At 42.9% G+C, this 26,566-nt stretch overlaps 1 protein-coding gene across 2 annotated transcripts in view, besides 1 other annotated feature; it reads right to left on the bottom strand.

The window, feature by feature from the left end:
- Positions 1-26,566, bottom strand: part of FAM107B (family with sequence similarity 107 member B) — a 256,341-nt gene that overhangs the window by 226,097 nt on the left and 3,678 nt on the right. The window lies entirely within an intron of this gene.
- Positions 6,812-7,729: an enhancer, noted in NCBI's record as "H3K27ac-H3K4me1 hESC enhancer chr10:14793464-14794381 (GRCh37/hg19 assembly coordinates)". NCBI's record gives its function as "activates a minimal SCP1, AML or CMV promoter by ChIP-STARR-seq in primed H9 embryonic stem cells {active_cell/tissue: H9 hESC(primed)}" and the evidence as "EXISTENCE:reporter gene assay evidence [ECO:0000049][PMID:30033119]".

A 26,566-nucleotide genomic window follows, 5' to 3' on the forward strand; every position in this document is an offset into this window, starting at 1 on the left:
ATTTGTGTATGTTGAACCAGCCTTGCATCCCAGGGATGAAGCCAACTTGATCATGGTGGTCAAGCTTTTTGATCTGCTGCTGGATTTGGTTTGCCAGTATTTTATTGAGAAGTTTTACATTGATGTTCACCAGGGATATTGGCCTGAAGTTTTCAATTGTTTGGAATTGTTTCAGGAGAAATGGTACAGCTCCTCTTTGTACCTCTGGTAGAATTCAGCTGTAAAACTGTCTGGTCCTGGGTAGTTCTTTGTTTGTTTTTTGTTTTTGTTTGTTTGTTTTTATTTTTGTTTTTGGTTGGTAGGCTATTTATTATTGCCTCAATTTCAGAACTTGTTATTGGTCTATTCAGGGATTTGCCTTCTTCCTGGTTCAGTCTTGGGAGGATATATGTGTCCAGGAATTTATCAATTTCTTCTAGATTTTCCAGTTCATTCGCATAGAGGTGTTTATAGGATTCTCTGATGGTTGTTTGCATTTCTGTGGGGTCAGTGGTGATATCCCCTTTATCATTTTTTATTGTCTATTTGGTTCTTCTCTCTTTTCTTCTTTGTTAGTCTAGTTAGTGGTCTATTTCATTATTTTTTTTCAAAAAACCAACTCCTGGATTTGCTAATTTTTTGAAGGGTTTTTCATGTCTCTATCTCCTTCAGTTCCTCTCTGGTCTTGGTTATTTCTTGTCTTTTGCTAGTTTTGGGGTTTGTTTGCTCTTGGTTCTCTAGTTCTTTTCGCTGTGATGTTAGGATGTCAGTTTGAGATCTTTCTAGCTTTTTGATGTAGGCATTTAGTTCTATAAATTTCTCTCTTAACACTACTTTAGCTGCATCCCAGAAATTCTGGTATATTGTCTTTTTGTTCTTATTGGTTTCAAAGACCTTCTTGATTTCTGCCTTAATTTCATTATTTACCCAGGAGTCATTCAGGAGCAAATTGTTCGATTTCCATGTAGTTGTGTGGTTTTGAGTGAGTTTCTTAATCTTGAGTTCTAATTTGTCTGCTCTTTGGTCTGAGAGACTGTTTATTATTATCTCTGTTATTTTGCATTTGCTGAGGAGTATTTTACTTCCAATTATGTGGTTGATTTTAGTGAGTGCCATGTGTTGCTGAGAAGAATGTATATTCTCTTCTTTTTGAGTGGAGAGTTCTGTAGATATATATCAAGTCCACTTAATCCAGAGCTGAGTTCAGGTTCTGAATAACCTTGTTAATTTTCTGTCTCAATGATCTGCCTAATATTGACAGTGGGGTGTTAAAGTGTCCCATTATTATTGCGTAGGAGTCTAAGTCTCTTTGTAGGTCACTAAGAACTTGTTTTATGAATCTGGGTGCTCCTGTATTGAGTGTATATATATATATGATAGCTCTTCTTGTTGAGTTGATCCCTTTACCACCATTATGAATGCCTTTCTTTGTCTTTTTTGATCTTTGTTAGTTTAAAGTCTGTTTTGCCAGAAACTAGAATTGCAACCCTGCTTTTTTCTGGTTGTCATTTGCTTGATAAATTTTCCTCCATCCCTTTATTTTGAGCCTATGTGTGTCTTTGCATGTGAGATAGGTCTCTTGAATCAGCACACCAATGGGTTTTGACTCTTTAGCCAGCTTGCCATTCTGTGTCTTTTAATTGGGGCATTTAGTCCATTTACAATTAAGGTTAATATTGTATGTGTGGATTTGACCCTGTCATCATCATGCTAGCTGGTTATTTTGCAGACTTGTTGAGTAGTTGCTTCATAGTGTCACTGTTCTTTGTATTTCAGTGAGTTTTTGCAGTGGCTAGTAATGCTTTTTCCTTTCCATATTTAGTGCTTCCTTCAGGAGCTCTTGCAAGGCAGGCCTGGTGGTGATGTATTTCCTCAGCATTTGCTTGTCTGAAAAGGATTTTATTTCTCCTTTGCTTATGAAGCTTAGTTTGGCCAGATATAAAATTCTGGGTTGGAAATTCTTTTCTTTAAGAATGTTGAATATTGACCCCCAATGTCTTTTGACTTGTTGGGTTTCTACTGAGAGGTCCACTGTCAGTCTGATGGGCTTCCCTTTGTAGGTGACCTGACCTTTCTCTCTGGCTGTCCTTAACATTTTTTCTTTCATATCAACCTTGGAGAATCTGATGACTGTGTGTCTTAGGGTTGATCTTCTCATGGAGTATCTTACTGGGGTTCTCTGAATTTCCTGAATTTGAATGTTGATCTATCTTGTCAGGTTGGGGAAGTTCTGGATGATATCCTGAAGTATGTTTTCCAACTTGGTTCTATTCTCCCCGTCTCTTTCAAGTACCCCAGTCAGTCGTAGGTTTGGTCTTTTTACATAATCCCATCATTCTTGGAGGTGTTGTTCATTCCTTTTCATTCTTTTTTCTCTGATAGTGTCTGCCTGTCTTATTTCAGCAAGATAGCCTTTAAGCTCTGAAATTCTTTCCTCTACTTGATCAATTTGGCTATTGATACTTGTGGTTGCATTATGATGGTCTTGTGTTGCGTTTCTCAGCTCCATCAGGTCATTTATGTTCCTCTCTAAACTGGTTATTCTGGTTAACAGCTCCTGTAATATTTTATCGTGGTTCTTAGCTTCTTTGCATTGGGTTAGAACATGCTCCTTTAGCTCAGCAAAGTTCATTATTACTCGCCTTCTGAAGCCAACTTCTGTCAATTCATACATCTCAGCCTCTGCCCAGTTCTGTGCTCTTGTTGGAGATGTGTTGTGATCATTTGGAGAAGAGGCACTCTCATTTTTGAGTTTTCAGTATTTTTTATTGCTTCTTTCTCATCTTTGTGAGTTTATCTAGCTTCAATCTGTGTGGCTGCTGGCTTTTGGATGGAGTTTTGTAAGGATTTTTTTGTTGATGCTGTTGTTGTTGTTGTTGCTTTCTGTTTGTTTTTCTTTTACCATTCAGGCCCCTCTTCCATAGGGTGGCTGCAGTTTGCTGGGGGTCCACTCCAGATCCTATGCATCTGGGTTCCTCCCACACCTGGAGGTGTCACCAGTGGAGGCTGCAGAACCACAAAGATGGCTGCCTGCTCCTTCCTCTGGGATCTCTGTCTCAGAGAGGCACCAAGCTAATGCCAGCAGGAACACTCCTGTATAAGGTATCTGGCAACCCCTGTTGGGGGTGTCTCACCCAGTCAGGAGGCACAGGATCTGGGACCCAATTAATGAAGCACTCTGGCTGCCCCTTGGTGGAGGGGGTGCACTGTACCCCAAAGAGTCTTCATAATCTTCAGAATAAAATTCAAACTCCTCAGCAAGCCATGCAAAGCTCTTATGATCCATCTCTGCCTGTCCCTCCATCCCCAGCCCACCAAGTTCCTTGCAACCACATGCAGCTACAGTGAAGTTCTTCTTCCTGAAACACACTCACCCTCCTTTGCCCTGGCAATTCCCAATTATCCTTCAAGATTCAATTTATGTGTTGCCTCCTCTGATGAGGTGGCTCAGTGCATACTTCTATCAAAGCACTTACTGTACCATTCTAATTTTGTTTACTTGTCTATTTTAGCAACTAGATTGTGGGCTACTTAAGAAGAAAGTCATTTCTTCTATCTCTATATTTTCAGAAGTAATCACAGTGCCTGGCTTGTAATAAGTGCTCAATAAATGTACGTTGAAAGAATGAGTGAATGTCCTCAAGTTGGGAAGCAGCACATGGGGGTCAAGGTCAGCTCTAATAGAGGGTAGTGGACATCTGTCATTCTTTTTGGCCACCTAGTATCTGAACTTTCCTTCTATGTCTATGGAATTCCTCGCTTTGAGTTTCAGGAGGAAGCAGAGCCTACCTCCCAATCTAGATGCTGATGATATCAGTAGCTAACTAGTCCCATCTTTCCTGTATCTGTGGCATTAGCTCTGACCTGACTTCTTACAATCTGAGGTATGTCCCCACCCCAAGACTGAATGGGAAGCTAGCAGCTTAAAGTAGAAGAACTGGAAACAGTGGCCACTAAGCAAATTTGCATTCTTGGCCCGACAACAGTGGTCTGGTGTTGCCAGCCAGCAGAATCAGAGGACCAGGCTGCAGCCTCTGAGGTCAAAGTTGCAGCAGAGCGGTCACCAGGCTGGGTCTGCAGCAGTCTGGGGTGTGGTCCCTGGATGTCAGCCCAGAGCCTAATTCTCCAGTGTCCTGGTGACTCCATTTCTATTGCTTGCAACTACAAACCCTGACTAATACCGAGAGGTTTTGAAGGTACAGCTTGTCACCAAGATGTAGCACAACGAAAACCAGGTAAAATTCCAGGGCCCTCAAGGCCTGAGCAACCCCCAGAGGGACCATGTGGCCTCCTTGCTTAAGCGCCCACTGGCCTGGATTTTACCCACTTCTTCCTCAAAGCAGGGTGTAAGAATAGATCTGATTATACCTTTGGGATCTAGAGTAACTTTCCTTTAAAATAAGAAAAAGAGCCAGAATGCTTCTCGTAGAGCCCAAGCCTCTGTGTTCTCTGGTGTGCTCGGAGTTCAGCACCAGATGAGACAATCCAAGGGCTGCGAGAGGCTGGAGCTTAGTGCCAGCCACCCTTTCCGGAAGGGATGAATTGCCAAGGTGGAAAGGCTATGTTTATAAGCCAGGAAACAATGCCACTTAGAAGAAACAAAAACCCAGACTGTGTGATCTGCCAGACTCTTAAAAGCCAGCTTGTCTGAGGATCCAGGGCCTGATTGAGACTCTGAGGGGTGACTGCCGGATGGAAGGCTGTGCCCTCCGTGTGACCTAATGCACTGTCAGCTCCGCCCCACCAGTGAGGTCCTCCTTCCCCTTCCCCCTCTCAATCAATCTGGCAGTGCCTTGTTCCTTCTTCCTGGCTAAAATCTACTCAGCATATCAAAGCTAGAATGTGAGTTCATCCATTTACTAAAACACATACTTCATTATATAATAATTTCCCCTGGCCCTAGCACCCTTTCTCCCTGGTCAAATGAATAATGTAACAGCCTTACTAGAACCAAGTCATGACCAAAGTTCACATCCCAGCCACAGCGAGGCCTTCGCAGAGATGGGAACCGAGCCAGCAGCCCAGGAGCTGCTTATTCCATATCCCTCTATCTGGACCATCTCTCCCCATTGCCCTCTTCCATCCCAGGGAGCAGGGGCACCATCCTCCCTACCATCCCGCTGAAGTCCCTAAAATTGCCAGCAACCATGTCTTTTGAGAAAAGGCACAGTTCCAAAACCACATTATGCCAACACAAATGTGTTATGGAGGGGTCATGAGAGCCACTAGCACGTCCACAAAGAGTTCTTGAGAGAATGAAACCTAAGGTCAGAAACAGGGAAGGAAAGATAGGTCTAATCCCACCTGGGAACGCCAGGAAGGCTGCCATGCAGGAGGCACCTCAGAGGCCATCTTGAAGAGCGAGGGGGTGGGGCCTAAGGCACCTGGGAACTCCGGAAGTTGGAAGCGAACAGCTCCAGCGAGGAGGGCACCAGGAAAAAATCACCCTGGGCCAGAAGAACAATATGGAGGCAAAGCCAGGATGAAAACCCATTGGTAGCATCCTCAAGGCTTTCTTATGGAAGAAGAATTGCTCTCACCCACAAGCGTCTTCTAAAGGTATCCCCAGAGACAACTGCCTGTGGCTAAAGCCAAGACTTGGGGCATGGGGTGTCTTTGGAAACCAGGGGAGCCACATCGTAACGGAAAGACATAAACATAGAACTCCCTAGAAAAGCATTTTTTTAAAGCACTGCAAGCCGAGCATGGTGGCTCAAGCCTGTAATCCCAGCACTTTGGGAGAGCAAGGTGGGTGGATCATTTGAGGTCGGGAGTTCAAGACCAGCCTGGCCAACATGGTGAAACCCTGTCTCTATTAAAAATACAAAAATTAGCTGGGCGGGATGGTGCACACCTGTAATCCCAGCTACTCGGGAGCCTGAGGCGGGAGAATCGCTTGAACCCGGGAGGGGGAGGTTGCAGTGAGCTGAGATCACGCCACTGCACTCCAGCCTGGGCAACAGAGTGAGACTCTGTCTCAAAAACAATAAAATAGCACTGCAAAGCTATCAAAGGCAACACCGTTCTAGTCTCAGTTGGATATGTGGCTCATGCCTGTAACCCTGGCACTCTGGGAGGCTGAGATGGGGGAATTGCTTGAGCCTAGGAGTTTGAGACCAGCTTGGGTAACACAGTGAGATGCTGTCTCTACAAAAAAATTTTAAAAATTACCTGGGTGGTGCATGCTTCTAGACGGGAAGGGGGCTCCAAGGGTGGCTTCTTGGAGAGGGATGGGACAGAGTGGGGACCTGAAGGCTGTGGGGTGCATGGGCAGATGCTGGACACCCCTCAGGGTACCATGAGGAATCAGGGGTGGGCACGATGGGGGAGCTTGGCCTCCAGCTTTTTCACTCTTGTTCCAGTTCAGCAATCAGGAGCAGACCTGCCCAAGGCATGGTTTCCATGGTGGCACATCTGGGAGGGGCCTGGCCCCATGTGCTGTTGACATCCGCTAGGTAATGAGGAGGAAGCACATGGGCCCCAGCTGGGCAGATGGGCTCTGCACATCTGCTGCCTCCCTTCCTCATTAGGGTCCCAGGGGAGCGGCGGAATCCAGACACAAAGACCCCACCCCAGCCTCCCCAAGGAGGATGCACACATGGGTTTCCAATGCAACTCTTCATTATTAAAACGAGAGGACGTTTTGGGAAAATGTTTGATGTTTGTACAATTTCTCATACACAGCCCTTGTCCTGCCAGGAGCTAAGTGTGCTTGGACCATACAGCATGGCCTGTGCTTGCTTTTGTGAGCAGAACAGTCCAGCTGGGAAACCACCACTGAGAAGGGGAGTCTGAAAACCTAGGCTGTTCGAAGCACTGGGCAGAGCTCCCAGGGAAGACAAGTTGAATAGAGTGAACTTATATGGGATTTTTTTCTTTTTTTTCTTAGAGACAGGGTCCAGCTCTGTCACCCAGGCTGGAGTGCAGTGATGTGATCAGAGCTCATTACAGCCTTTACCTCCTGGGCTAAAGCGATCCTCCAACTCAGCTTCCCAAAGTGATGGAAATTACAGCCGTGAGCCACTACTCCCGGCCTCCTTATAAGGAAATTATTTGAAAAAACTGTGAGGAGTCCTGGGATCCCCAGAGATCTATCGACCCTACACAGCTGCTTCTAGAGTTGACTCTGTGTTCCGCAAGAGCTGCAGGGCCAAGAGCTTGAGGAAGTGCCAGGCTGCTGAGAGAAGGTTGTAACGCACCGAGACTGAAGCCCAGGCCTGGGCTTCCACTTCCGCCTCCAAAGGAGGTAAAGGGCTGGGAACAAGACCAGTGAGTTTCCCAAATGGCTGGGAAGGTGAGAAGTTTGCAAAATGAATGAAGGGAATCAGAAAATAGGTTTAATCCATGGCACCTCCCTTGCTCTGGGTTTCTGGTGTTTTTGAAATACCCACTGGTTTCCCTATTGTGATATTTACTGGGCCAAGGAGGATTTTTTTCCATTTCAGACTGATGTCACTCCCAGCCTGTTGGTTTCCCAATATCCCATCTGCTGAGGCAGCAGACTCCCGCAGGGAGCCTAAGCCATGGGCTGTGGCCAGAGAGACAGGCAATCCATCCTTCCTGTTTGTGCTCAGCCTGGAAAGTGAAGCCTGGAAAAAGGGACTCAACCAATCTCCCTGACTTGAGGGCTTCTCCCCTTTTGCCCCTCACTCACCTCTTTGCAGTGTGATCATCTCTGAGCCTCCCTCCAGGGAGGAAGGACAGAGTGCCTGGAAGGCATCCAGCTTTGCAGTTTCTCGATCCTGTACCCTGAGAGGTTTCCCTATCCCATTCTACCAGCAAAACATTCAGACGAGTGTTTTGCTTCTTTTCTGGGAGGTAGTCCAGATACAAAGACATATAGGTTCTAGTAAACCTCGGTTGTGAATAAGAAGAGTTTTAGTATAGGACGCAAACTGTCAATCCTGATGTAAGTGAACCACGCTGTGGAGTTTAATCGCATCGTGTATGTGGGACCTCTGTGTGGGAAAGAATCTGTTGGCGACTATAAGATGAATGCATCAGACTCATAAAAGCTGGCCAGGTTTGGTGGTTCACACCTGTAATCCCAGCAGTTTGGGAGATGGAGCCAGGTGGCTTGCTGAGCCACAGGAGTTCAAGACCAGCCTGGGCAATGTGGCGAGACCCCATCTCTACAAAAAATACAAAAATTAGCCGGGTGTGGTGGCACATGCCTGTGGTCCCAGCTACTTTGGAGGCTGAGGCCAGAGGACTGCTTTAGCCAAGGAGGTTGAGGCTACAGTGAGCTGTGATCACACCACTGTACTCCAGCTTGGGCAACAGAGCAAGACCCTGTCTCAAAAAAAAAAAAAATGACTCATAAAAGCTTAGCCATTCAAATAGCACATTGTATAAGAGAAATGCCAAGACTGAGTAATTTTATCCACTAAGTATAATTTTAATAAAGTATCAGTGTTCCCAAAGTACAAAGCTGACCCTCTAAAGTTTCTAGCTCAAAAGCTATTTATGGCATTACCAAAAAGATGGTAAAAAGAGTGATCGTAGTTGTCAGTGTGTAGACACACACAGACACAAACACAACACACAGAAACACAGGCAGAGCACACACGCATGTTCACACTGCACACAAAGGTATACACTCAGAAACACACATACATATCAATACACACATAAAAAGTTTTTATGATCACCCTTTTCCCAACAACCCAAGCTCTGCCACTGGCTCCTAACCAGGATAGCAATGGTGACAAGGAGTGATGGATGGGAGCTTAAAACCCCGTTACATCAAAGCCGTGAAGATTAGATTAAAAACCAAGCTCTCCCTCTCTATCCCAACACCTTCATCATGGGAGGTCTTCCTCAAACTTGCTGATGCTCAAGTGAAATTCACAATATACAGGAAGAACTTCTAGATTTTACCAGAGAGCACCAGTGTAATTATCTGGTGCTTAGTTAACTCCCAAAGTGAAATCGAGCTCATCTTTTTCAGTTTTCCTCAGATCCATTATGTTTGTTGTGTGTAGATGGTTGGGAAGGAAATAAGGGGAAAGGAATGAAATAAAAAGTTAAGGGTAAATGTTTCCATGACTGACTTTTGTTTACTTCAATTTTTTACTTCACATCTGTTCTTCCATGAGAATGATAAATTTTACTGTTTCTCAAAGAAGAGAAGAAAATATGCTTAACATTTCCATTTTAGTAACCAGAGAAAGTATTTTATGATTTGTTTCCCCAAATTTCAACATCTTCCCCCCACCTATATAAAATATAACAAATACTATGGCTAAAAAAAAAATCTTGAATCCAACTAACCAATTTTTTATATCATAGATGAAAAGTCTTTTTTTTCTTTTTTTTTTTTTTTTGAGACAAAGTCTTGCTGTCACCCAGGCTGGAGTGCAGTGGCACCATCTCAGCTCACTGCAACTCCTGCCTCCTGGGTTCAAGCGATTCTCCCCACTCATCCTCCCTAGCAGCTGGGATTACAGGCATGTGCCACCATGCCTGGCTAATTTTTGTATTTTTGGTAGGGACAGGGTTTTGCCATGTTGGCCAGACTGGTCTCAAACTCCTGACCTCAGGTGATCCACCCGTGTCAGCCTCCCAAATTGCTAGGATTACAGGCGTGAGCCACCTTGCCCGGCCACCAGTGAAAATTCTTAAAGGGAAAATGAATCCAAATAATTTGTGAAATGCATCTGCAGGGGTCGTGGAGCCTCTTCTGAGTCCACGGTGCCCCTGTCCTGCTGAATGGCAATGTGCTATGGGAAAGACTTCGTCACTCCCAGCTCCAGAGGTGAGACCTGACTTGACTAATCCAAGCAGAGTGGTCTTATCCCTTAAACACGAGGACAACAGAAGAAAGTCCATGAGTTTTTCTATGGTTGGAAAAGGAATGTGCCCTCTCCCTGCTCATCTCTCTCTTCCAGCTGAACGAGGATGTGATGATCTAAAACCCTCAGAACTACTGGCAGCCATGTGGCCAGCAAGAGGGGAGTCAGCTTCTAAAGGGAGCTGACATCGTGAAAAGCAGAGGCCACGTGGAAGGAGCTGGTCTTCGGTGCCATCTTTGAGCCACTGCATCAAGCCACTGTGATGCCTGCCCTGACTCTGGCCTTTTCAGTAACAGAAGCTGTACTTTTCTTAGTCGTTTGAGCTGTGATTTGTGCCTGTAAGATGCAGATGCACCTTGATAGGTACAGCACATCTGCTGTGTTTCTGCAACCATACGGATAATTTTATTTTCCTTATTGCAATCCATTACATCCTGAATATTCACAAACATCTTTCCTTTTAAAATTATCAAGTCAAAGATAAAATACAGACCTGGGGAAAATGAAAAGTAGTTCTTAACACCAAGCTTGGATTTGATTCCTAACTGCGTTTCTGAGGTCATCTCTGCTTACCAGGGCCAGGAATTGAGTCAAGAGCTGCTTTAATGGCAGTTTAATTTACCTGACAATATTTTCATTGCCAGAGAAAAGCATATTTTAGATGAATAGAAACTTAAAAACCAACCAGTTGAGCCAAGTCATAAACATAGTAGTTTCATGACTTGACACTTCTGTGGAGTATTTAACACCAACCATGGTCTAAATGAAACTTAAAATAATTCAAGGGTCCTGGAGAAATCTATTTTGAGCATGAACAAGTCCCATTAGGTAGCAGGCCAGGGTTGGGTATAGGAGAGTAGAACTACCAGCCATAGAATCAAAAGTAAGATTCCCCACCTGAGGTCAGGAGTTCAAGACCAACCTGGCCAACATGGTGAAACCCCATCTCTACAAAAATACAAAAATTAGCTGGGCATGATGGTGGGTGCCTGTAATCCCAGCTACTCAGGAGGCTGAGATGGGAGAATTGCTTGAACCTGGGAGGCAGAGGTTGTGTGAGATTCTGTCTCAAAAAAAAAAAAAAGAAAAAAGAAAAGAAAGTAAGATTCCCCAGGCAAAGGCTCTGTAGACACCATGCTACACACCATCATCCTCAATTTAATCCTGTCAATCAATTCCCTTGTAACTATTCTCTCTAGAAATCTCACCATTGATTCCTTTTTCATCCATCCTTCTCCAGAGAACACCTTTTCACTCACCGAAACGAAACTCAGCACAAAATCCATAATCACAAGGTGTTTATATCTTTAAGATGATGAGGAAAGAACTCAGGACACTGAATTATCATGAAAGGCTCCAAATTTTAGAGACAAATGTGACATCATTGCCTTAGAAACTTCTTATCTACACCCCATCCCCAAATTTTCAGAAGAGTAAATTTTACTCTGAAAGTTTAAGAGATGAGCTCAATATCCATTGAGCACGTTGGTGGGGGACTAAAGCTCAGGCTTTTCTGACTCCAAAACCCAATAAATATACACTACTATATATTTGTTTATGTGTCTGACTGTCCCACCAGACTGTGAAAAATTTAAGGGCAGGGGCTCTTTTTTTCCTTTTTATCTATTATGATTGGCACCTAGAGCAGGCCCTGGCACATAGGAAGAGCTTAATAAATGTTTATTGAACAAATTAAAGGATGGATCAATAAAATCAAAATCAGGGGGAGCTTTATGGTATAGTGCCTTCATATATTCTTCTCACTTAATCTGTTTAATATTGTGAATATTTCTGTGGCCCATTCATTATTCTACAAATTGATGAAAATATTAATAAATTAATTCTCTTCATCAAACTCTTTGTGATAGTCTTGGGTGTCAATTTGGCTAGGGCACAGTACCTAGGTATTTAATCAAACACGAATCCAGGAGTAGCTGTGAAAGTATTTTGTAGATATGGTTAACATCTACAATCAGCTGACTTTAAATAAAGCCTTGATCGTGTGGGTGGGCCTCATCCAATCATTCAATGGCTTTAAGAAGAAAGACTGGGGTTTCCCAACAAAAAAGGATTCTGCCTCAAGACTGCAGCATCCAGCGAGGTTGTGGAGAAAAGGGAATGCTTATCCACTGATGGTGGGTGTGTAAATTAGTTCAGCCATTGTGGAGGACAGTGTGGTGATTCTTCAAAGACTTAAAGACAGAAATACCATTTAACCCAGCAATCCCATTACCGGGTATACACCCAAAGGAATACAAATTGTTCTACCATAAAGGCATGCATGCGTATGTTTATTGCAACACTGCTCACAATAGCAAAGACATGAAATCAACCTAAATGCCCATCAATGATAGACTAGATAAGAAAATGTGGTATATATGCACCATGGATTACTATGCAGCCATAAAAAGAAACGAGATCATGTCATTTGCAGGGACATGGATGGAACTGGAGGCCATCATTCTTAGCAAACTAACACAAGAACAGAAAACCAAATATCGTGTGTTCTTACTTATAAGTGGGAGCTAAATGATGAGAACACATAGACACACAGAGGGGAACAACACACACTGGGGCCTTTTGGAGGGTGGAGCAGGGAGAGGATCAGGAAAAATAACTAATGGGTACTAGGCTTAATACCTGGATGATAAAATAGTCTCTACAACAAACCCCCATGACACAAGTTTACATATGTAACACCAAATCTGCACTTGTAACCCTAAACTTAAAAGTTAAAATAAATAAATAATAAAACATTTTTTAAAACCAACCAAACAAAAACCATACAAGTTGCTCTAGGGTTGGGAATTTTGTTTAATGCATCCTATGTACCTAATATAGTCAATGTTTCTTAGCAAATAATAGATTCACAATAAATATTTTTGCTGACTGAAAAAAAAAAAAAAAGACTGCAGTGTCCAATCCTGCCTGAGTTTCCAGGCTGCTAACCTGTCCTGTGAATGTTGGACTTGCCGGCCCCTATAACTGCATGGATCAACTCCTTAAAATGTATCTCTCTCTCTCTCTGTTCTGTGTTCTCTCTCTCTCTATCTCTCTCAGTTCTGTTTCTTGAAAGAACCCTGGCTAACAAACTATTCAGTGAGCCAGACGGAGCGAATCCAAAATTTCCCTGCAGAAAGTTGAGAGATTGAGAGGGCAGTCTGTGTGATGCAAGAAACCACTGCCTGATGACTTCCGCAGGCAGCTGGAGAGGTGTGAATGAGACCTTAAGGCTGCAATGTCACATAGTGAAGCCCAAGCAGGAAATCTCTAGCAGCTAAAGAAAAGACGTTACCTTTGAGGATTTCTTAAAGCAGGCAGGGCCTTTTTCTCATAACGTCCAAGGTAAAAGGAAAACAAGATCTCCCGTTGAAATCATTTGGTTGGAATCCATTCTAGAGAAGGAAGGATAAAACCCTTCTGCCATTTTTCTTCTTTATTCTCTTCACAAAACCATCTGGTTGGGTTTTTTGTTTTTGTTTCTGTTTTTTTCTTGGAGGGACAAGTCACGGAGCTTGAAGGTAAGTTTTGAAAGATCTCCAGTTAGTTGCCAAGTATATAATTATGCTTTGGAGATGAATATTTGAAGGATGCCACCAATTCTCTTTGCAAGATAGGAGGGGAAAAAAAGTCTCTGTGCAGCGCTCATAAGCAGAACAATTTTTAAGTTTCAAAGGAGATTTGACAAGGCATCACTTACAGATTGTGAAAGAGTAATTTAAAAACGGTGAATACGTCATGGAAACTTCCTTTTCCCTTCCTACTTTGTTCTGCCCCTGACTTGACAAAGCAATGGCCAGGAATCCTTCACACCTGGTAGTGGGAACTGTTTTCCTTAAGGAATTTAGAAAATTGCGAGGATAACGGAAGCTGTTGCATGATGCTGACTAGGATATTTCATTGCCTATTTCACGGAAATACTGCCAGCCAGTTCTCAGAGCCCGGCTTTCACAAATCCTCGGTCTCCATGAAGTAGCTCAGTGGTTCCCAATTCTGGCTGCGTGTTAGAATTACTAGAGGGAGGTTTTTAAAAATACGGGTGCCATAGTTCCATCTCCGAACAATTAACTACCAAGTTCTGGGGTGTTAGCATTAATATTAGTAACTTTTTAAAAACTCCCCCAAGTGATTCTGAGCATCCAAGAGCAGCGCAGGGCCTGACAGCCTCTGCACTGGGTGGGAGTAGAGCATGGCACAGGTGGCCCTAGATGCCCAGCCGGGCTCCCCGTCTGGAGCGAGTGCCAATAGGCCAGCCCCTGAGAAATCCAGGAGTGTGAAATATTCATCTTAAGTTAAAAGTCTGAGGCCGCGAGTGCTGGCACACCTGCAACCCCAGGACTTTGGGAGGCTGAGGCGAGAGGATCACTTGAGGTCAGCAGTTGCAGGCTAAAGTGAGCTAGGGTCACCACTGTACTCCAGCCTGGGCAACAAAGCAAGACCCTCTCAGAAAAAAAAAAAAAAAAAAAAAAAAGCCAGGCACAGAGGCTCATGCCTGTAATCCCAGCACTTTGGGAGGCCGAGGCAGGTGGATCACCTGAGGTTGGGAGTTCGAGACCAGCCTGACCAACATGGAGAAACCCCATCTCTACTAAAAATACAAAATTAGCCAGGTGTGGTGGCGCATGACTGTAATCCCAGCTACTCAAGAGGCTGAGGCAGGAAATCGCTTGAACCCAGGAGGTGGAGGTTGCAGTGAGCCGAGATCGCACCACTGCACTTCCAGCCTGGGCAACAAGAGTGAAACTCTGTCTCAAAAAATAAATAAATAAATAAATAAATAAATAAATAAATAAATAAAAAGCAGCAAAGGTCTGGGCTGCTGACATGCATTCCCACGTAGGTGAAAGAAGTATAGAACAAACAGTGCCAGCAGACTGACTTTTATTTTTTTTAAATCTTTGTTCTTTAAGCATTTTCATTTCAACACTGTCTGCTCATATAGCCACTATTCTGGCCCCTTCTCTGCCATTCTTTCCTGGCGCCATCCCCAACACCCATTTCTGGTCTGGTGCCCTCTCCTGGGCTGCCAGGCACTTGGTGCTTACCTCAGTTGACGCACTTATCAAATGACACTGCTGTATATTTGTTTCTGTGTCTGACTCTCCCACTAGACTATGAAGAACTTGAGGATGGGGGCGCTGTCATTTTGTCTTTTTATCTATTAAGATTAGCACCTAGAACAATGCCTGGCACCTAGAGGGCATTTAATGAATGTTTATTGAATAAATTAAAGGATAAACCAATAAAATCAAAATTGAGGAGGTGTTTATGGTATAGAGCCTTCTTTTTTTTTCTTTTTTTTTAGATGGAGTCTCACCTCTGCTGTGCAGGTTGGAGTGCAGTAGTGCGATCTCGGTTCACTGCAACCTCCACCTCCCGGACACAAGTGATTCTTGTGTCTCAGCCTCCCGAGTGTCTGCGACTACAGGTGCCCACCAGCATGTCCGGCTAACTTATGTATTTTTAGTAGAGCCAGGGTTCCACCATGTTGGCCGGGCTGGTCTCAAACTCCTGACCTCAGGTGATCCACTCCCCTTGGTCTCCCTAAGTGCTGGGATTACAGGCGTGAGCCACCGTGCCTAGCCAAGCCTTCATCTATTCTTATTTCATCTTTGTTTATCATTGCTAATATTTTTGTGATCCATTCATTATTCTAGAACTTGATAGAAACAATTTAAGGCCACGTGGGAGAATAGGTTCCAAGATAATTTTTTTCCCTTGAAGAAGGAACTGTGTATTATTCAGATTTGAAACACAGTACTCAGAAAATTTTATTTTCAAGTGAACTCTGCTAGAGGGAATGGTTTCCTTTTGGCTGTCCTCTTCACCCATTTCCTGGCCCCTCACTGAAATTTCTTGCACGGCAGAGAACGAACCTCTGGATGTGCCAGTTTTCCGGTTTGCAAAATGAGGATAATCGCTTTTATGACTGCAGTACTATATTAGAAAGAGCAACTGCTTATACAGAACTTTAAGCATTACAGGAGAAAATATAGAATACTAATAACATAAATAATGATACCACTGAATCAGGAACAGAAGAAAACAAACAGATGCATTTACCTTATTATTCTCTGCGACATTAATAGCACATGGAGAAGCATATAAATAGCACTGGTCACATTAATGAGACACCAAACTATATTAAGCATATTGCCAAGAAGAGATGTACGTTTTTTCACAATTTTAGCTTTACGATCCATCTGGTTGAGGTTTTTTCTGATATGCAGAGAACTCAATATCTAAAAGATGTTTTTAGTTTATCTGATTTAAGGATGAAGGATGTAATCTTGCACTTAATGGGTTACTGTCTAAATTGGAGAGCAAAGCCAAAGACATATATTACAGTTCCAGGTGGGCGGATCACTTGAGGTCAGGAGTTTGAGGCCAGCCTGGTCAACATGGTGAAACCCCGTCTCTACTAAAACTACAAAAATTAGCTCAGCATGGTGGCACATGCTTGTAATTTCAGCTACTCGAGAGACTGAGGCAGGAGAATCGCTTGAACCCGGGAGGCGAAGGTTGCAGTGAGCTGAGATCGTGCCACTGCACTCCAGCCTGGGCGACAGAGCAAGACTCCGTTTCAAAAAAAAAAAAAAAAAAAAAAAAAGAAAGACATATCGTTAAGCTAGAGGGTGTTTAATGAGAAAAAAGTAATTAATTTAATCAGGAACACATAATTTCAAATAAAATCTTTAACAGGTTATTTCTTTTGTGCTTACTCAGTAATAAGTGTGAAGTCTAACTTTAAAGTGTTAAAGTCTTCATTCATTTCTTAGGGCAACAAACTTTCATGGGGGCCTAATATGTGCTGAAGATGCTATGAAGAATCAAACATTGGTTTTGCCTTTGAGTCGCTTGTTGTTAGGCAAGAAGCCAGACAAATCAGCATTTGCAATATAAGATAATAAATGCTAAAAGAGCATTTAATATTTATCTCATTTCTGTGGCTTATTGTTAAAAGTACCCATACAGTTATACACACTTTTTCTCCACATTGAGGCTTTTTATAAGTGAGATAATACATCTGTGTAGTATTTTCTCTACATTGGGGCTTTTTATAAGTGAGATAATACGTCTGCATAGTATTTAGTTTGAGTAAGATTTTCTGGGTTTTGCCACTGAAAGCATGCTAATGATACAAGGAGGAAGTTTAGGAAGGGAGATAGCTCTTTTTTCTTTTTTTTCTTTTTGCGACAGTCTCGGTCTGTCACCCAGGCTGGAGTGCAGTGGTGCGATCTCAGCTCACTGCAACCTCCACCTCCCAGATTCAAGCGATTCTCCCACCTTCCTCTCAAGTAGCTGGGAGCACAGATGTGCTCCACCACACCTGGCTAATTTTTGTATTTTTAGTAGAGGGGGGGGTTTCACCATGTTGGCCAGGCTGGTCTTGAACTCCTGGCCTCAAGTGATCCGCCCACCTCAGCTTCCCAATGTGCTGAGATTACAGGCATCCGCCACCGCACCGGGCCGATGGCTCATTTTTTAACACATTGAGTTTGAGATCGCTGTGAGGCCACCTAGAGACTTCCCAGGGGTAGTTAGGTCTATCCTTGAAAAACATAAACTTGTTGTAACAGCTTTGGGCTATTTTAAAATACCGTAGTGTAAACACTCTGAGTATCTCTACCCTAAGGACGGGCAGTTGCACCTGGAGTGGTTCCATGGCATCATGGAAGACCCAGGTTCTTTCTTGTCTTCTGCCGCCATCCCTAGATTGTTTGTTTTTCTTTGCAGGCTCCTGCTCTCATGCTCACAGGATGGTGACAGCACCATTGGGCATCCCCTCCTCACCCAACAATGACCAAAAGCCAAGTTCATGCACTATCTTCCTTATTTTCCTACTTGAAAGCAAAGTCAGTTTTGCCAACTACACTCACAGATGGTTAGTTAGTCACTGAAGGACCCTAATCGGGAACCTGCACCCAGAGGGGGCTACAGTGTTTCACAGGAGGCTAGCGGAACCTAAACCAGAGGGTTTGCGAATTAGCATAAGAGACTTGGGACACCATTTTTTCACTTGTGAGAACAACAGTATTCAAGAGACGTGACTGACCGGCATCTTTCCCTTTGCAAAATGAAGTATAAGAGGCCGAGGCAGGCAGATCACCTGAGGCCGGGAGTTCGAGACCAGCCTGGCCAACATGGTGAAACCCTGTCTCTACTAAAAAGTACATAAATTAGCTGGGCATGGTTGCACACACCTGTAATCTCAGCTACTGGAAAGGCTGAGGCAGGAGAATAGCTCGAACATGGGAGGCAGAGGTTGCAGTGAGCCAAGATTGTGCCACTGCACTACAGCCTGGGAGACAGAGTGAAACTCTGTCTCACACACACACACACACACACACACACACACACACACACACACACACAAAAAGAACATGTCACATTCAAATGACCAAGTCCTCTACAGAAGCATGATGGATCTTGAACCTCATTTGGTCCTTTACCCCCATTTGATTAGAAGACTTGATGGCTTTGCCATTCGAGTACTGTTGTATTCCTATATGTTAATTTATTCATGCAATGAGCTACTATTTAAAAGGACAGAGGCCAGGCTTGGTGGCTCATGCCTATAATCCCAGCACTTTGGGAGGCAGAGGGAGGTGGATCCCCTGAGATCAGGCGTTCAAGACCAGCCTGGCCAACATGGCAAACCCCATCTCTACTGATAATACAAAACTTAGCTGGGTGTGGTGGCAGGCACCTGTAATCCCAGCTACTCGGGAGGCTGAGGCAGGAGAGTAGCTTGAACCCGGGAGGCAGAGGTTGCAGTGAGCTGAGATGGCACCACTGCACTCCAGCCTGGTGACAGAGTGAGAGTCTGTCTCAAAATAAAAACGTAAATAATAAAAGGACAGATTCTGGTGACTTTGTTCAGTATACAGGATCAGGAAATAGGACTCTTTTGTGCCTGCTTGCCAGCAGATGTTTGTACTTGTGGCAGAATTCACGTGAGACATTCTCTATTGCAACGTATCACCAGGGAGCAAGCTGTAGGAGGACAGACATGTAGCCCCCACGTGCCTCTAATTGTTAGAGGCTACCAATATTTGCTTCATGGTTTTGAAGGGTGAAAATACCTCAGGCCTATTTGCAACATCACTGCACCAAGTCACTTCTGCCTATAGAGACGCAAGTCTTACGCAGCCAGGTCAGAAGGGTTCCGGCAAAAACTCAGTCAAAAGGGCTGTCTTTCCTAAAGACAGCACTTCCGGAACTCTCAGAAAAGACCTGGGGATGAAAGCCATCTGGGAGATCCATCACCTCCCCAAGTACCAGGATCTAAGCCACTGGTGACCTTGTTCCCTTACTGTCTCAAGTCTGACCCCACCTAAAGCATCCAGCTTGGTCAAAAAGGAAAACGATTTCCAGATAGAGAGGAATTATTACTGTTTAGGGGTATACAGATTGCTGCTTAAGGTATACACATTATTATTACTGCTTAAGGGTATACACATTGCTGTCCCCATTCAAGAGCCTCCTTAGACCGGGTTTCACCCTTTATTCGGCCTCTGTGTCTATGATTTTCTTGTACCACTATTCACAGTCAGGAGCGTGGTCAGGAATTCCTGGTGGCCTGCAACTTCCCATCTCTACTGCTGCCTTTCTTCCCACCTTGAGCTGGTATACCAGAAAGCAGATGGGTGAGAGTGGTTTTACAAAAGAGATAACTTTGAATTAACTCTAGGTGTTCATATAAACAGTTTGCACTTTTACACGATCATGCATTGTTTTATATCAAAAATTCCTTAAGTTTTAAAAGTCAACTTCTCATTTGCAAATAGCCCTGCACTAATTATAATTAATAAGTTATGTGAGGCACATCTTACTACCCTTTTTTGTTGAGATTTGATGTTTTAAGTTACAGGACTGTGCACGTAACTCATTTGCCGGGAAGTTTCTCCTTTAGGATGGGCAATCAAATCCTGCCTATGTGCTTAGGTTCCAACAGTTGCCTCAGTTGTCATTTTCCACTTAACTGAACACGAAACACACACAAACCAGCTTTTCAGAACAAGATCATAAACACCTCCCACGGCATTTTGATGTCCTTTGTGGAGGATTCCCCTTCCTCTAACTGCCTAAAATTTCCAACCTCCGGCCTTCCCTGGTGCAGAATTACAAAACCAAGTGTCAATCTTATATTGGAAAAAGTGTTAACTTGAGGAGCCATATTTTCTTTGGAAAGGAGGAACTGCAAGTGGAAAACTAAAAGCAGTTCAGATCAGGTTAACCATGTCTGTGGCTGGAAAAAGAAATCTCTAATTTCCCATAATTGATGTAGCACATCCATTCAACCAGCCCCTATGGTTCCTAGACCGTAAGACATTTTAAAGTTTCCAACATACCCAGTGAGTGGAATAGTGAAATTATTATTTTTTAACTGATGCACAACTGCAAGTTATTTCATCAAGAGACTGGAAATTTCAGCTATACACACGTAGGTATTTTAGAAAAATGGGTCTTGTCAATAAGTTGAAATCTCCCCAGTGACTCTTTGGGTAGGCACTCTAGGCCACTGCCGATGAAGGACGTCAACCCTGAACTTGCATTTTCTACCTGTGAAAATTGAAGGCAAAGGAACAACCAGGTCCTGGGCAGATTGGTAGATTTTTCTCTGACAAGCTGGAAATAAGTGCTGCTCAAAGATATGGGTCGACCTCTTCCCTTTGACTCTCTCTCCCCCAATATATCAATACCTACTCACAGAACATGCCCTATTTCTAACTGAATTGGAAATGCAATGGTAACCTCACTTGAAAATAAACGGTGCTTTAAAATTTGGTTAAATTATTCCCTCATCTTTTATGTCTTAGCTTGGAATATAAGTCGATGCCTTTCATCTCTGAATTGTCTGAAAATTTTGCATTCTTGCCACTCTCTGCAGTCTTTTATGGAGAGTTGCCAATAGCCAAATCTGCACCATGTAAATTTTCATGGTTTATGAGAGCTATCCATTTATTGCATTCTAAGAGAAGCCAAGAAGCTGCCTCTCTCTTTTCCGGTTGGGATGCAACTAAATATCCAGATTGGAAAATTCTTGACTGGGTATATCATGCACGATCATGCCACTGTGTTTAACATCTTTTGAAAGTAGAAAGCTGGCATAAGAAGTGATCAGGGCTGAAATGGAATGGAATGGGATTCTCACTAGGCCACTCAAATATCTTCTGTGTTTGTGGAAGGAGGGACAGTCAGTAATTTTGCTCAGGAGAATAAAAAGGAACTAGAAAATTAATGTTTGATTGCAATAATCTATTATTTACCATATATTTTAAAATGTTGATGTCAAACAATATGTTTAACAGAGACCTTCACTAATAGGGCATTTGTTTTTGTAGGTAGGCTAAAATTCTCTCATCTTCTGTTCAGGCCCATAGGGAAAGGTAGGGAAGGTTTCATTCTAAAGAAATGCAGGAAAAATGGTTTGTACCAGAAAATGGAAATATAGCCCAGCAGAGCTGATCCCAGTAGAGCTGATCCCAGTAATGCTATTAGATAAGGGGGATGCAGAGTGCAGGTAGGATGATGGGTGATGGGTGATTACACATGAGTTTATAATAGGCTTCCAAGCAGCACTGACATCTGCAGATGGTACCCCCAAGTCTTGGCTTCTAGACAACTTCAAGACATTGAAATAAAAATCAATATATTGAATATCATTTACCTATAGAGGTGAACAAGAGTTCCAAGAGCTTTTCTGTTAATAGATATCCGAGGAGTCTCTCAGACACCCAATTTCAATTAAGATGGCTTCAGGGGAACATGTTTTGGATCTGCTTCTAACTAAGGAACTGAAACTAAATTAATGAAATGATCCTAGGTATTAGAAAAGACTGTGCCAAGAAAAGACAAAGGATGGGCATGGAGCCTAGACAAGGAGAGCAAAGGAAAAGTTATTTAGTTATTTGCAGCATGAGTTCTGCACAGCCCATAGAAGTTATGTCTGACCTGTTGACCTGAGTTTCCCATGCTGCTTGGAGGGTTATCATTAGAGTGGAAATGGATTAGATGCTTAGTAGCCTCACGGAGTTCCAGTTTCCTTGTCAGGTAGAACAATAGGAGGTGAGTTCAGAGAGGTACTTTGTATTGGATTTGTGGGCCACTGTAGGGATTTGATTTTTACTCTGAGGGAAATAGGGAGCATTTGGAGGGTTTTGAGCAGAAGAGTGAGTGGGATTATCAGGAACTGATATTGTAAGAGGACTAGCAGGATCAAATGAGCTAGTACTCATTTGATGATCAATGAGTGGTACTTATAATGGCCATAGCTCAGTGATGCTATCAAAGTAGCCCCTCTTCACCAAGACTGATTCAGGAAGATGTAGAAAATCTGAATAGACCTATAACTGGTATGGAGATTGGATCCATAATCAAACACTGTACAACAACAACAACAGAAAGACTTGGATCATGTGGTTTCACTGGTGAATTCTACCATACATTTAAAGAATCTTTCTCAAACTCCTCCAAAGAACTGAAGAGGAGGGAACACTTCCTAATTCATTCTATAAAGCAAGCACTAACCTGATACCAAAGTTAGACAAAGGCACTGCAAGAAAACTGCAGAACAATATCCCTGATGTGTATGTATATATATATATATATATATATATATATATAGAGAGAGAGAGAGAGAGAGAGAGAGAGAGAGAGAGAGAGAGAGACAGAGAGAGAGAGAGAGAGAGTTTCCCTCTGTCGCCCAGGCTGGAGCGCAGTGCCACAATCTCAGCTCACTGCAACCTCTGCCTCCCGGGTTCAAGTCATTCTCTGCCTCAGCCTCCTGAGTAGCTGGGATTATAGCCCCTCTACCACACCCAGCTAATTTTTGTATTTTTAGTAGAGACAGGGTTTCACCATGCTGGCCAGGCTGGTCTCGAACTCCTGACCTCATATGATTCACCCACGTCAGCCTCCCGAAGTCCTGGGATTACAGGCATGAGCCACCGCACCCGGCCCCTGATGAGCATTAATAGAAAGATCCTCAACAAAATACTAGCAAACAGAAAACTGCAGCATATTAAAAAGATTACACCGTGACTAAGTGGGATTTGTTCCTGGAATACAATGATGGTCAACATAGAAAAATCGATCAGTGTAACATACCACATTGACAGAATGACGGAAAGAAAACACATGTGATCATCTCAATTGATGTGAAAAAAAATTAACAAAATTCAACACCCTTTCATAATAAAAAAAATACTCAAAAGGTTAGGAATAGAAGGAAACTACCTCAACACAATAAAGTTCATATAAGAAAAACCCACCACTAGCCTCACATTTAATGGTGAAAGACTGAAAGCTTTTACTCTGAAATCAGGAACAAAACAAGGATGCTTACTTTGCCACTTCTATTCAATGCAGTATTGTAAGTTTCCACCAGAGCAATGAAGCAAGAAAAAGAAATAAAAGGCATCCAAATTGGAAAAGAAGAAGTAAAATTATCTGTCTGTTGATGACATGATCTTATGTGTAGAAAACAAAAAATGTACAGAACTAATAAATAAATTCAGCAAAATTGTAAGATAAAGACCCCTGCACAAAAATCAGTTGCATTTCTATACAGTAACAATGAACACTCTGAAAAGGAAATTAACAAACAATTTTATTTACAATAGCATCAAAAAGAATAAAATATTTAGGAATTAGCTTAACCTAGGAGGCAAAAGAAGTGCACATTGAAAACTTCAAAATGTTACTGAAAGAAATTAAAGAAGACATAAATATAATAAATGGAAAATATCTTGTGTTCATGGATTAGAAAATGTAAGATGTCAATACTGCTCAAATATATCTATATATTTAATGCAACCCCTATCAAAATCTCAATAATGTTTTTTGCAGAAATAGAAAAATTCGTCCTAAAATTTATAGAGAATCTCAAGAGACCCCAAATGATCAAAACAATCTTTGAAATGGGAGAACAACATTGGAAGTCTCACACTTTGAGATTTCAAAGTTCACTACAAAACTACAGTAATCGAAACAGTGTGGTACTGTCACAGACATATATACCAATGGAACAGAATGAAATCTCAGAAACAAACCCTCACATATATGGTCAAATGATTTCAACAAGGGTGCCAAGACCACTCAATGGGGAAAAGACAGTGTTGTCAACAAATGGTGCTGAGAAATTTGGATATCTACATGCAAAAGAATGATGGTGGCACCACAATGTGAATATGCCTAATGACACAGAATTATATACTTTAAAACAGTTACAATGGTAAAATTTATGTTATGTGTATTTTATCACAATAAAATGAATCACTCTCCTTCCTCTAAGTCCATGCTTTCCAACAAATTTTTGGTTATCATTTCGCTTTACTGGTGATTTTCCAATGGGGAGAATACGTGGCTCAGTCAGCGCAACCCTACCCATTAGTGCTCAAAGCTTACAACTAAATGAGCATTCTGACTTACGCATCAGGCTCTTGTAAACTATCTCTCACCTCATCTTCCTGCTGTCCCTATTAGGTTTATTACCATGGCCTTGATGCTCCAACCTTCCTGACTCTAATCCATCCTACACCTACCCATGACTTTGCCCCTGCTAAGTGGACAGTAACTACAGATGTTGTCCCCACTGTGTGTTATTGGTTCTATTCTAACACACAGTGCTTGCCTTGAGCCCCTGTGTCCCATGTGTCACTAAAACAGGAAGATAAAATCAAATTGACCCTGCTGTATCCAGCAACACAGGGAGTCTCTATTCTCTCAGAGAAAGCCGACTGACAAAACTGTGTTTGGAGACAGCAGTGCTGAGGCTCAGACGCTCAGTAACCACCAGAGCCTGTGAATCTTCAGGCCACTGCTGGGGTGCTAGGATGGCTTGGTTACCACTTCTCTGCCCAGTTGCTAAACCAACCTGTTCCAAAAATCAATGAAGTTGTCAATTCCAAGATGGGCCCTGTTTCCCTTCACTTTTGTACAACTGACATTTTTGTTTTTCTTTTCTTTTTTTAGACGGAGTCTCATTCTGTCACCCAAGCTGGATTGCAGTGGTGCAATCTCGGCTCACTGCAACCTCAGCCTCCAGGGTTCAAGCAATTCTTGTGCCTCAGTCTCCCAAGTAGCTGGGATTACGGGCGCCCGCCACCACGACCAGCTAATTTTTTGTATTTTTAGTAGAGACGGGGTTTCACGATGTTGGCCAGGCTGGTCTTGAACTCCTGACTTCGTGATTCACCCCTCACTCAGCCTCCCAAAGTGTTTGGATTACAGGCGTGAGCCACCGCGCCCGGCCACAATTGGCTCTTTATTTAAAAACCCCAGAAATGATTTCCCAAACTACAATTACTATCTCTTCCTATGTGAGGCTGGCTACTCCCAGTTCAAGTACAAGCTAGATGGAACTTACAACTGCTATAGGAAGACATTCTCAAACTACCAAACTACTCTGAAACTTTTAGTTGCTTAGTGTGTGAACTCTCCCTTTCTCACACTGCGTACATCACTGGGAGAGAGAGGAGTGAAACAGCACCATTCAACTTGGCTGGGTGCAGTGTTAAGTTGGATTCGCAATTAGAACAGAAAAAGATCGAAGCCCCTGTATTCTAGTCTTCCCCTGTCTTCTTCCCAAGGCTGAACATGGAGTGCCGTCCTGTGTTTGTATTCCATCCGGTGCTGAGCCATAAGCCCTCTCATACTGCATTGATTCTGCCTGTTTACCCAATGGAACTTCCCACTAGAACATCAGCAACCTCACAGATTGAGTCACAATCATCAGTGTTTCCCCAGGGCTAATGCTATCCTCACATGGAGGAAGAGCATAATAACTACTGACTAAAAAAATAAACAGCAGACCTGGCGCGGTGGCTCACACCTGTAATCCCAGCACTTCGGGAGGCCAAGGCGGGTGGATCATGAGGTCAGGAATTCGAGATCAGGCTGGCCAACATGGTGAAAACCCATCTCTACTAAAAATACAAAAATTAGCCAGGCGTGGTGGCTGGCGCCTGTAATCCCAGCTACTTGGGATGCTGAGGCAGGAGAATTACTTGAACACGGGAGGCAGAAGTTGCAGTGAGCCGAGATCGCACCACTACACTCCAGTCTGGGTGATGGAGCAAGACTCTGCCTCAAAAAAATAAAAATAAAAATAAAATAAAATAAACAGCAGTACTGCTGAATTTCGTTGAGTCTACAATTCCATCAATGATATGACACTTCAACTACAAGACCACTAAGAAGGGGAAAAGTTATCATTAAGAGGTACTAACAATTATAAGACACATTCCCATTTTAGGGTTGTTATCACTTTGGTTTCAGGTCTGGAACAGAAAAGAGATGAATACAAAAAGTTGAAGACTGATCAATAGCATTTCTTCAATACAGACATGTGCGCTCATCACTAAACCAAACAAAAATGTTTCATATTTGCTTAGTTTGTTTAGCTTCATTACCTCAAGCTTTCTCTCTTGAACCAGATATTGTTTCCAATATAAATGAGCCACCCTCCTGTCTGAACATCAGGTAACTGAAGATAGAGAGAGGGGCTTGTCCCCATTTCTTACCTTATGTCTGAGGCTGAACTAAAAAAAAAAAAAAAAAAAAAAAAAAAAAGATTATTTGTGGCCTCTACAGAGGCAGCTTAAATAATGAGGATCAGTGCATCCAAAAGGGAAATATTTTTCCGCCAGGCAAGATTGTAATAAAAGCATCTCATTCATCATCTGCTAAGGGAAAACATGCCATTGCAAAGTCACTTGGTAATGAAAAATCTGGGCAGTTCTAAGCCACTTTTAATCAGAAGATCTCAAAGCAATCCCCCACACTGC

Source organism: Homo sapiens, chromosome 10, assembly GCF_000001405.40.
Source record: "Homo sapiens chromosome 10, GRCh38.p14 Primary Assembly".
Classification (NCBI taxonomy): domain Eukaryota; kingdom Metazoa; phylum Chordata; class Mammalia; order Primates; family Hominidae; genus Homo; species Homo sapiens.